Source organism: Homo sapiens, chromosome 9 (assembly GCF_000001405.40).
Source record: "Homo sapiens chromosome 9, GRCh38.p14 Primary Assembly".
Lineage (NCBI taxonomy): Eukaryota > Metazoa > Chordata > Mammalia > Primates > Hominidae > Homo > Homo sapiens.
Window position 1 is genome coordinate 15660118 of NC_000009.12, and position 12703 is coordinate 15672820.

A 12703-nucleotide genomic window follows, 5' to 3' on the forward strand; every position below is an offset into this window, starting at 1 on the left:
TGGTATTAAAATTTATGTTTTTACTTTTGACTTTAATGAAATGTTCTTTTTACCTAAAAATTCTCAGATCCCTATATTTGAGCATGTCTGTTTGTTAAAGCAAACTTACATACTTTTCTTTAAGATCAGGTCACTAAAGTGGCATCAATAAGTAATAAGACTGAAGTTTTCTTTTTCTTTTCTTTTCTTTGTTTCCTTTTATGATTTCAGCTTTTATTTAGATTCCGGGGGTACATGTGTAGTTTGTTACCTGGGTATATTGCCTGATGCTGAGGTTTGGGGCATGATTGATTTTGTCACCCAGGTATTCAGCATAGCACCCAATTGTTAATTTTTCAACTCTTGCCCCCTTCCTGCCCTTTTCCCTCTAGTAGTCCCCAGTGTGTATTGCTGTCGTCTTTATGTCCACAAGTATCCAGTATTTAGCTTCTACTTATAAGTGAGAACATGTGGTATTTGGTTTTCTGTTCCTTTGTTAATTTGCTTAGGATAAGGGCTTCCAGCTGCATCCATGTTGTAGCATAGGACATGATTTTGTTCTTTTTTATGGCTGCGTAGTAATCCATGGTAAGTATGTACCACATTTTCTTTATCCAATCCATCATTGATTGATGAGCACCTGTGTTGATTCCATGTCTTTGCTATTGTGAATAGTGCTGTGATGAACATAAAAGTGCATGTGTTTTTTTGGTAGAATGATTTATTTTCTTTTGGATATATACCCAGTAATGGGGTTGCTGGATCAAATGGTAGTTCTGAGTTCTTTGAGAAATCTCCACTCCACTTTCCGCAGTGGCTGAACTAATTTACATTCCCACCAATAATATATAAACATTTCCTTTTCTCAGCAGCCTCACCAGCATCTTAACATGCTGTTTTTTTGCCGGGCGCGGGGGCTCACGCCTGTAATCCCAGCACTTTGGGAGGCCGAGGCGGGTGGATCATGAGGTCAGGAGATCGAGACCATCCTGGCTAACACGGGGAAACCCCATCCCTACTAAAAATACAAAAAATTAGCCGGGCGTCGTGGCGGGCGCCTGTAGTCCCAGCTACTCCGGAGGCTGAGGCAGGAGAATGGCGTGAACCAAGGAGGTGGAGGCTGCAGTGAGCAGAGATTGCACCACTGAAATCCAGCCTGGGCGACAGAGCGAGACTCCGTCTCAAAAAAAAAAAAAAAAAAAAAGTAACATGCTGTTTTTTGACTTTTTAGTAATAGGCTGAAGTTTTAAATTCATGAAAAAAATGTAATTTCAAAATTAGGTTTTTCATTGTAGTTGTGATACATCCCTGGGAATATATAGTTAATTACTATAAATAAGAAAATTATTACCTATTTTTTACTTATATGGTTTAAAATTAATATTTGATATCTCAGTGCTATGACTTAGAAAAAGTGAAAAGTTTATATTTGAATCATAAATCTATAAATATTTACAAGTATTTTCAATGAGGTACATCTACTACCTTTCGGTTTCAGAGCAGTTTAATGGAAAGTAGAGTACTAAGTAGCTATAACTAATCACCATCTTATAAACTACTGTTGAATATGTATTTGAAATTTGTTATTGTTTGTATATTTTGGCATAAAAATGAGAAAGCAGACTTAAAAGAGTTGACTCAAATTTGTTATTTTGTAGTCTATTTTTCTTTCAATTGATTGGTTTACCATTTGTGATTGAGTGTGCTTATTTTCTAAAAGAAGGTAGCAATGTAGACAAGAAGAAAATATTCCCCAGATTTACTGTTTGGCTTACAAACATTGGATTTAGACAAAATAACAAAGAAAAATAGAGTTTAAGAGGTACAATTAAAAAATTTAAATCGAGTTGTATCTACCTATTTTACTCCCTTAGTTTAGTATAAGAATAAACGTTTCATGCCAGGTGCAGTGGCTCACACCTGTTATCCCAGCACTTTGGGAGGCTGAGGTGGGCAGATCACTTGAGGCCAGGAGTTCCAGACCAGTCTGGCCAACGTGGCGAAACCCCGTCTCTGCTAAAAATACAAAAGTTACCTGGGTGTGGTGGCGCATGCCTGTAGTCCCAGCTACTCTGGAGGCTGAGGCATGAGAATTGCTTGAGCCTGGGAGGTGGAAGTTGCAGTGAGCCGAGATCGTGCCACTGCACTCCAGCCTGGGTGACAGAGTGAGACTCTGTCCCCATCCCCCCTCCCCCCCAAAAAAGAATAAACATTTCAATTATTCCAGAAATTTTGGATAATTAAAAATAATTCTGGTGATTATCATTTTTATGGATTAATGTTGAAACATTTTCATAGTGTCTTAGGCTTCATTTCCTGGTGAGTTTATCTTTCTTAACTCAGGTTGTGTGTTGCCATTCCTGTGACGCTTGCCTCACACAGAGTTCCGTAACTTTTCTCTGAATTCAGGACCTTTGTGCATGCATCTGTCACAGGAAGCATATACCATATTATTTCGCAGTCTATGTTCTCTTAAAACCTATCAGCTCCTCAAGATCTAAGACTGTGTAGTTTCATTATTGTATGTATCTTGAGCATTAGGATATTGACTGGCATATATTAAGTACTTAATAAATATTGATTAAATAAACATTGCCAGTTGGACACGGTGGCTCACACCTGAAATCCCAGCACTTTGGGAGGCTGAGGTGGGCAAATCATTGGAGGTCAGGAGTTCGGGACCAGCCTGGCCAACATGGTGAAACCCCATCTCTACTAAAAAAAAAATACCAAAATTAGCTGGGTGTGGTGGCAGGCACCTGTAATCCCAGCTACTCAGGAGGCTGAGGCAGGGGAATCGCTTGAATCCAGGGGGCGGAGGTTGCAGTGAGCTGAGATTGCACCACTACACTCCAGCCTGGGGGACAACGCGAGACTTCGTCTCAACAACAACAACAACAACAACAACAACAACAACAACAACAACAAATTGCCTGATTAGATCCTTGTAGCCACCCCGCAAAGTAGATAGTCTAGTTGACATTATTATTATTCACTATTTATAGATGAGAAGCCTCAAATATTTGGAGTTTTAGTAATACGCCCAAAGTCGCATTAGTTAATTTTGTAGATCTGGGATTCAGCCTGAGTTTTGTTGGTTTGTTTGTTTTATTCTAATATCTGTTATGTTTGCACAGCGTCAAACCCAAGTTTTATGGTTCTAAAGCCCATTTTCTGTCTAATGTGAAGCATTTTTTTTCTATCCCCACCCCGTCTTTAAACTATTTTCTAAAAAGAAACTATTTTTCTTTTAAACTTTATTTTCTGAAAAGGTAAACTATCTACAGAGTTAAAAAATTAAAACAATATTAGATCAAGAGTTCTTGCTTTATTCTTGTCCCTCCCATTCCTCTACCCTCCTGCCTGCTTATTTTTATTCTTTTCACTTATTTACGCCAAATGTAGCATACTATATACGCTGATGTGGAACCTGCTATTTTCAACATATGTTAGCAATACATTGTTCTTGAACACTATGTGGAGAACTACATAGAGAATTTTCTTTTTTTTTCTTTTTTTTTTTTTTTGAGAGGGAGTATCGCTCTGTCACCCAGGCTGGAGTGCAGTGGCGCGATCTTGGCTCACTGCAAGCTCTGCCTCCCAGATTCATGCCATTCTCCTGCCTCAGCCTCCTGAGTAGCTGGGACTGCAGGCGCCCGCCACCACACCTGGCTAATTTTTTTGTACTTTTAGTAGAGATGGGGTTTCACCGTGTTAGCCAGGATGGTCTCGATCTCCTAACCTCATGATCCGCCTGCCTCGGCCTCCCAAAGTGCCGGGATTACATGCGTGAGCCACCGCGCCCGGCTGAGAATTTTCTTTTTAGTAGTTGTTTTGAAAAAAGAATAAACTCATGTATTTTACAGCAACATGGATGGAACTGGAGGCCATTATCTTAAGCGAAACAACTCAGAAACAGTCAAATACCACATGATCTGACTTAGAATTGGGAGCTAAATAATGTGTACATATGGACATAGAGTGTAGATTAATAGTCACTGGAGACTCAAAAGGGTGGGATGCTGGAAATGGGGTTGAGGGATGAGCTATTACTTAATGGGTACAGTGTAAACTATTGGGTGTTGGTTACACTAAAAATCCAGACTTCACCACTATGCAATATATCCAGGTAACAAAACTACACTTTTACACCTTAATTTATTTATTTTTGAGACAGGTTCTTGCTCTGTAACCCAGGCTGGGGTGCAGTGGTGCGATCTTGGCTCACTACAGCCTTGACTTCCCCAGCTCAAGTGATCTGCCCGCCTCTGTCCCCCAAGTAGCCGGCATTACAAACGCGTGACACCACGCCCAGCTGATTTTTGTTTTTTTTGTAGAGATGGGGTTTCACCATGTTTCCCAGGCTGGTCTCAATCTCTTGAGCTCAAATGATCTGCTCACCTTGGCCTCCCGGAGTGTTGGGATTACAGGCATGAGCCACTGTGCTTGGCCTGTAGGCCCTTAAATTTATACACACACACACACACACACACTCACACGAGTTGTTTTGTAGCCTTTTTACAGCTACATATAATTATTTTGTTGGAATCTCTTGTTTATTCATCCTATGGTTGGTGGACACAGGGAATATAGTTTTGTTTTTTTTTTTTTTTTTTTTTGAGACGGAGTTTCACTCTTGTTGCTCAGGCTGGAGTGCAATGGCGTGATCTCGGCTCACTGCAACCTCTGCCTCCCAGGTTCAAGTGATTCTCCTGCCTCAGCCTCCCTAGTGGCTGGGATTACAGGCACGCACCACCACGCCTGGCTCATTTTGTATGTTTTAGTAGAGACGGGGTTTCTCCATGTTGGTCAGGCTAGTCTCGAACTCCTGACCTCAGGTGATTTGCCCACCTTGGCCTGGGAGTATAGTTTTAAAATGTCTTTTTATGTAGAATTTCAAGTATATGCAAAAGTAAAATAGTAAAATGAACTTCCCACATACCCATCGCCCAGCTTCAATACTTTACTCACGTCAATGGTGTTTTATCTCTTACCTCCTGGAACTCTCCCAGTTTCAGACCTAAACATTTTTTTTTAAATTTTTTATTTTGAGGGAAGGTCTCACTGTTAATCAGGCTGGAGTGCAGTGGTGCAATCACAGCCCACGGCAGCTTCTGACTCCCTGGCTCAAACGATCCTCCCTCTTTAGCCTCCTGAGTAGCTGGGACTACAGGCGCCGGCTGCCTCCAGACTATTTTGAAGTAAATCCCAGATATCAAATAACGATAACCATAAATATTTCAGTCAAATAGTATTGTTTGACAATAAGAAGATCACTTTTCTATAGTAAGAAATCTCAGGAATAAAAAGATCTGTTAAATTTCTTAGGCTTATAAAGATACTCATGTAATAATGTTTCTTGTAAGAGAGGAAGAATACTTCCCTTTAGTTTTCAAAAACCAGGCCAGGAGCAGCGGCTCATGCCTGTAATCTCAGTGCTTTGGGAGGCTAAGGTGGGAGGATCACTTGAAGCTAACAGTTTAAGACCAGCCTGGGCAAGATAGCAAGGCCCTATCTCTACAAAAAATAAAACAATTAGCTGGGTGTGGTGGTGTGCACCTGTAGTCCCAGCTACTTGAGAAGCTGAGGTGGGAGGATCACTTGAGCCCAGGAATTCAAGGCTGCAGTGAGCTATGATCACACTACTGCACTTCAGCCTGGGTGACAAAGTGAGACCTTGTCTCTTAAAAAACCCAAACATTTAATTTATTATATTTTATAAAAGAAGTATCTGAATGGATTAGTAGGTAAAAATTTGAAACTTTGAAAATTTAGATTGAGTTGTATCTACATATCTATTTTTCTTTGATAGAATGGGTTATATTGTACCAGCCTATCTTTCATAACACAGTTAACTCTTCATTCTTCTACTCTTTCTCCTTTCATTTAAACATATTGAGAAAGGGAATAAACTGTCTTTTATTTATTTTTCTTTTTTAAGCCAAAGCAGAAAGAAAGAAGTGCTTGGATGAATGATAATCTGTTACTGACAAAGTATTCTACTCAATTTAAGATTGATGCTAGCATTTCTTAGCTTGATTTAATTACTTGTCTGTCGTCCGGTAGTTACGGATTCGAGACCTTGAAGGAGCTTTGCAAGTAGAGAAGGCCAGTCAAGCAGAAGCTGTTGCTGATTTGGAAATTATCAAGAATGAATTCAAAGAAGTTGAAAGTGCATATGAGCGAGAAAAGCATAATGCACAAGAGAGCTTTGCAAAACTAAATTTGTAAGTATTCTATTGTAAAATTCTCTAAATTAACATAAAGATTTTAAAAGAGCTATATAAAATATGAATGTATACTATGTATTTTAGATATAGCTCCCATTAATGTCAGTGGTAGACTGGGGCAAGTGACTTCATAAAACATAACTATACTTTCCTGTATAGGTAAAAATGGAAATGCTCTTTTGGATATTGAAGTATATTCCAAGTAGCCCAAGAAATTGAGTAATAAACTAGAAAGTAAATACATTAATGTAGTTTGTATTATATGAGTGATGTAACGCAATATCTTTAAGTATCAAGACCAGCTTGGGCAACATAGTGAGACTTTGTCTCTACAAAAAAAATAAAAAAATTAGCCAAGTATAGTGGTGTGCACCTGTAGTCCCAGCTACTCGAGAGGCTGAGGTGGGAGGATCACCTGAGCCCGGGAGTTCAAGGCTGAAGTGAGCTATGATCTAAGGCTAAGATCTGGGGCTAAGATTTCTAAGTCACATAAAATGGTCTATATGAAGATGGATAATATTTGACATTTTCTCAAACTACAGAAATAATAATAATAGCAGTAACACTACTACTAATAGTGGCCAACATGCATTGTGGCTCACTTCATACCTAGCATTGCAGTTTCATTTGTCTAACACCGTATGAGGAAGGTATTTTAAAAAATCTCTTTTACAGATGTGGAAATTGAGGCTAAACAAGAGTAAGGACATACAGCTCCTAAGTGGCAGAATTAGAATCTTTCTGACTCCTACTGATTTTAACCTTTTTCAGTTTAAAAGCCTTTCATCTTCAAAATTCTGTGAAATGATTTAAGAAGTTTATAATGCATTAATATGTTTCCAAAAATAAGTCAATAGTAGACATTTTAAACCATTTCCCCCCCCAGAGGGTGAAATTCATACTACCATTAGTATGTGGCATGATAATACATTGGCATATTAGAATTATATTTTAATCTTAGTTTCTATTTATGGCAAGTAGATAATGGTTTTCCATTTATAGCCACAATATAAAGATCCCTTTTAAAATGCTTTATTGGCTGGGCACGGTGGCTTACACCTGTAATCCCAGCACTTTGGGAGGCTGACGCGGGTAGATCACCTGAGTTCAGGAGTTCGAGACCAGCCTGGCTAACATGGTGAAACCCTGTCTCTACTAAAAATAAAAAAATTAGCCAGGTGTGGTGGCGGGCACCTGTAATCCCACCTACCTGGGAGGCTGAGGCAGAAGAATCACCTGAACCCGGGAGGCAGAGGTTGCAGTGAGCTGAGATCGCGCCATTGCACTCCAGCCTGGGCAACAGAGGGAGACTGCATCTCAAAAAAAAGAGAAAAGCTTCATTTATTATAAGAAGTGAGTTAACTTAAGTGAAAGTGTGATTTAAATAGCGGTAATTTTTGTGAGTGTGACAAAAATCACGAAGATTGCACCTGAAAGACTGAAAACATTAAAAACTCTTAAACTGTTTGTTTCTTTAATTAATAATGCTTATAATATTTTAAACCAATAATTCTTAACTGAATTTCCTTGCTTCCCTCTAGTATGACTTAAATGACATTCTGTGAATGTTATTCTAAGGACTTATTTATCCTTTATGTTCTTTGAACCATTGCTTGAATGCATACATTTAATACATTTGAATGTATTCAAATATTATTCAAATATGTATTCAAATATTATTCTGCATATAAATCTATTTGAAAGGCTTTTATGTAGAATATAGTGCAGATTTCTTTACTTTTGCTTTAAGGTAATGATTAGGACCTACAAGTAAAACTGTAAGAAGTCAGAATGAGCTCCCAATAATTAAAGCTTTCTAGCAATGAAATAATAGACATCTTTCAGGGAACTAGTGAGTTCCCTGCCTTGGGAAATTCAAAACACAGAGTGGATGATTCTCTGTCATGGATGTTGAAGAAGAGAGTCTTATAAAGATTGGACTGGAGGAATTTTAACCTACTTGCTAACACTTAAGCTCTGAGTCTAACCTATATACTTTCCTAATTGGACCCCAAAGCAGTTTTTTTCCTTAAGTTTTGTTTTGCTGTTATTTGTATTTTGGTACTTGAAAATTTTTACTCAAATTTAGTATTCCAGTAAGCACCAACTGACAATTCTAAACATTAGTTACATATTCCAACTAGGCACTAGCTAACTAACACTCCTAATGCTTTAACATAATGTCCCTTATATCTTCTTCATCTGTATATAACTGTCATAATAATACAAGTTAAATAATAATAAATAAATAATGACAAGTAATAACTAAACCCAATAATCACTGAAAATTTCTGTGACTTTCCTTTTCCATCCCATCTTCCTTTTCCGTGTATGTGAAATGAAAGCCACTTCCATCCCTACTATCTGTAGTATAAGAAGGAATGATGTGACTTGAGGGATCTACCTGTACTTCCATTTTCCATTTTCTGCCTGTACTTCTGACCATACTTCAGAATCATCTTTAAAAAACCTTTTTTAAAGATGATTCTGAATTTTTTAAATATTTTTTAAAGAAGATTCTGAATTTCTGAAAAAAATTCTGTTGTTTCAAAGTAGTTCTAAGTTTTGGTTAATGTATTCCAAATAGAGAATTGATAGATTTTAGGTCTTTAAGGTAAATAATACCTTTAACTTACAACTTTGAGAATGTGGAGTTTTGGAGCAGTATATTGTTTTACCTGTTGTGAACTGACGTAGCAGTTTATCATGCTTGAACCTGCCATTGGTTAAGGTTCTTTAAGCTTCTGTTTCTTGCCAGGCAGACCTCGGCAGGATCTCACTAAAGGCAGGAGAAAAAAAGCTGTGTGTATATTGCAGAGTTATAGTTTTGGTCCATAGTTTCATAACAGTAGACATTCCTACATGAAATTATTTTAGATGGAATGTATATATTCCATAATTCTATAATCAAAATTTCTTAGAATAAATTTTTTTCCATCTAAAACTTGCAGTATGAAACCAAAGCTTTTCAATAATCTTTTGTTTTCTTTTTAAACATTTTTTATTTTTAATTATGGGTAAATAATAGTTGTACATATTTATGGGGTATGTGTGATATTTTTATACAAGCATACAATGTGTGATGATCAAATCAGGGTAATTGGGCTATCCATTAACTCAGGCATTTATCATTTATTTATGTTAGGAACATTCCAATTCCACTTTTTTAGTTATTTTGAAATATGTGATAGATTATTGTTAACTATAGTTGCCCTGTTGTGCCACCAAACACTAGATCCTGTTCCTTCCATCTAACTGTATTTTTGTACCCATTAACCATCTGAATTTTCAAATATAGTAAAGTCTTCATTAGCTGTGACAACTGATTGCTGGGCAATAGTAGGGAGAAAGAGATCATAGTAATCCTTAGGTATAGTTGAAACATAAATTTAATTTGAAACATCATTAGTCAAATATATCATGCTGAATGGACTGCATCTAAATTTATTTCTTAGACTCAATATTTAGGAATTTATTTTTCTAAATATATCACCCAAAAGGATAAACATATCAACGGTATTGTAACTTAGTAGCATTATTTTTGTTTACATTATATGTAAAACATAGTCCAAAGATGGCTATTTGTTAAAATACCCTGTTATTGTCAAATTCTTAGCTGAAGTCTTAAAAAAAAAAAAAAAAAAAAAAGAATGGGACTCCAGTAGGAAAGAAGGGATCCTAGCTACAAACTTACTTCTCCTCTCTTCCCTTTCTTGCCTAAATCCTCCACCTTTTAAGTCCTGGCCCTTTCCCATCAGAATTCAGAGACAAGGCATCTCCTTAACCTGCCCTACTCTTGCTCCACTTACTCCTTCTTGGTTGGGAGTTTAGCAGCATGGTAGGAGCCAGCTTTTTTGTCCGCCAGAATGCTCAACAGCAAGGTGTGTTCCCCCATTTCAGTGGACACAGTTTGGCCTTTATTTATAAAATAGTACCAAAAAAAAAGCTGTGTGTGTATTGTGTGTGTAATGACAGATGCACTTAATTATCTATTTTTTGAGTAACAGCAGTTTTTAACTAAAATCTTGATTTTATCAAATTAATACATGTACACAGTCTAATGAATAAAATGGTACTGTTAGGCTCATGAAAAACAGCAGTTTCATGCCCCATTGCTCTCTACTATCAGTTTCTACTCCTTTGATGCATCTACTTTCAAATCTTATTGCTGGTTCTTCTGATATTTGATTTCATATTTCTAAATAACAGGCATAGTATGCCATTTTTTTCAGTTTCTACCTTTAAATATCTATTGGCTTCTACTTATATATCTCTATTATATGCTTCTCCCACACCACAGACACTCCTTCCCTCTTCCCATCCTTTCCATAGAGTTATATTTTTGGGTTCAGCATACTTTATTTTTTCTACAGTTTAATTTTTGTTAACCCATCTTTTTTTATAGCACATTTTATTGTGTTCTTTGTTATTTATTGTCTGTCTTATGTAACAAGAAACTTTGTTTTGTTTATTGCTGTCTTGTCAGTGCCTAGAAAGGTACATAAGAGCTGCTAAATAAAGATTTATGGAATTGGGCTGGATGTGGTGGCTTATACCTGTAATCCCAGCACTTTGGGAGGCTCTGGTGGGAGGATTGCTGGAGGCCGAGGTGGGGGAGGATTGCTTTTGGTGGCGCATGTTTGTAGTCCCAGCTACTTGGGAGGCTGAGGTATAAGGATTGCTTATGCTGAGTAGTTCGAGGCTGCAGTGAGCTATGATCATGCCACTGTACTTCAGTGTGGGCGACCAAGTGAGACGCTGTCTAAAAACCAAAACAAAACAGAAAATACTTGCAGAATCAACAGATGAGAATAGTTAATAATTGCCTCATTTTAAACTGTATTAGTTCATGTGATTAACCAATCACTTATTAAATTATTTGTAAACACTAACAGAACCGAAAGTCTCTCATGTTCCTACACCTCAGAGACGCTATCATTTTAAATTTCTTCTAAGAGATGTTCCTCCTGGACTCTTCTGTCTACTTTTTCCAGTCTGGAAAAGTTTTTTTTTTAAATTTATTTTTATCTTTATTTTTTGGCCTTAAGTTCTAGGATACATGTATACAACGTGCAGGTTTGTTACATAGGTATACATGTGCCACGTTGGTTTGCTGCATCCATCAACTCGCTTACATTAGGTCTTCACATTAGGTCTTTCTCCTAATGCTATCCCTCCCCCAGCCCCCCACCCCCTGCCAGGCCCCAGTGTGTGATGTTCCCTGCCCTGTGTACATGTGTTGTCATTGTTCAATTCCCACCTATGAGTGACAACATGCAGTGTTTGGTTTTCTGTCCTTGTGATAGTTTGCTCAGAATGATGGTTTCCAGCTTCATCCATGTCGCTGCAAAGGACGTGAGCTCATCCTTTTTTATGGCTGTATAGTATTCCATAGTGTATATGTGCCACATTTTCTTAACCCAGTCTATCATTGATGGACATTTGAGTTGGTTCCAAGTCTTTGTGAATAGTGCCGCAATAAACATACATGTGCATGTGTCTTTATAGCAGCATGATTTATAATCCTTTGGGTATATACCCAGTAATGGGATCGCTGCGTCAAGTGGTATTTCTAGTTCTAGATCCTTGAGGAATTGCCACACTGTCTTCCACAATGGTTGAACTAATTTACACTCCCAACAGTGTCAAAGCATTCCTATTTCTCCACATCCTCTCCAGCACCTGTTGTTTCCTGACTTTTTAATGATCGCCATTCTAACTGGTGTGAGATGGTATCTCATTGTGGTTTTGATTTGCATTTCTCTGATGACCAGTGATCATGAGCGTTTTTTCATATGTCTGTTGGCTGCATAAATATCTTCTTTTGAGTAGTGTCTGTTCATATCCTTTGCCCACTTTTTGATGGGGTTGTTTGTTTTTTTCTTGTAAATTTGTTTAAGTTCTTTGTAGATTCTGGATATTAGCCCTTTGTCAGATGGATAAATTGCAAAAATTTTCTCCCATTCTGTAAGTTGCCTGTTTACTCTGATGATACTTTCTTTTGCTGTGCAGAAGCTCTTTAGTTTAATTCAATCCCATTTTGTCCATTTTGACTTTTGTTGCCATTGCTTTTGGTGTTTTAGTCATGAAGTCTTTGCTCATGCCTATGTCCTGAATGGTTTTGCATAGGTTTTCTTCTAGGGTTTTTATGGTTTTAGGTCTTACATTTAAGTCTTTAATCCATCTTGAGTTAATTTTTGTATAAGGTGTAAGGAAGGGATCCAGTTTCAGCTTTCTGCATATGGCTAGCCAATTTCTGAACACCATTTATTAAATAGGGAATCCTTTCCCCGTTTCTTGTTTTTGTCAGGTTTGTTGAAGATCAGATGGTTGTAGATGTGTGGTGTTATTTCTGAGGCCTCTGTTCTGTTCCATTGGTCTATATATCTGTTTTGGTACCAGTACCATGCTGTTTTGGTTATTGTAGCCTTGTAGTATAGTTTAAAGTCAGATAGCGTGATGCCTCCAGCTTGCTTTGTTCTTTTTGCTTAGGA

General features: G+C 37.5%; 1 protein-coding gene across 35 annotated transcripts in view; it reads left to right on the plus strand.

The window, feature by feature from the left end:
• Positions 1–12703, plus strand: part of CCDC171 (coiled-coil domain containing 171) — a 556042-nt gene that overhangs the window by 107233 nt on the left and 436106 nt on the right. For all 35 annotated transcript variants that reach the window (XR_007061261.1, XR_001746227.3, XR_001746228.3 and 32 more), the window contains one exon: positions 6046–6206. Coding sequence is in view for 30 of the 35 variants with exons in the window: in XM_047422930.1 (XP_047278886.1) it covers positions 6046–6206 (161 nt within the window). In the remaining 5 variants the exon portion in view is untranslated. The remainder of the gene's footprint in view (positions 1–6045; positions 6207–12703) is intronic.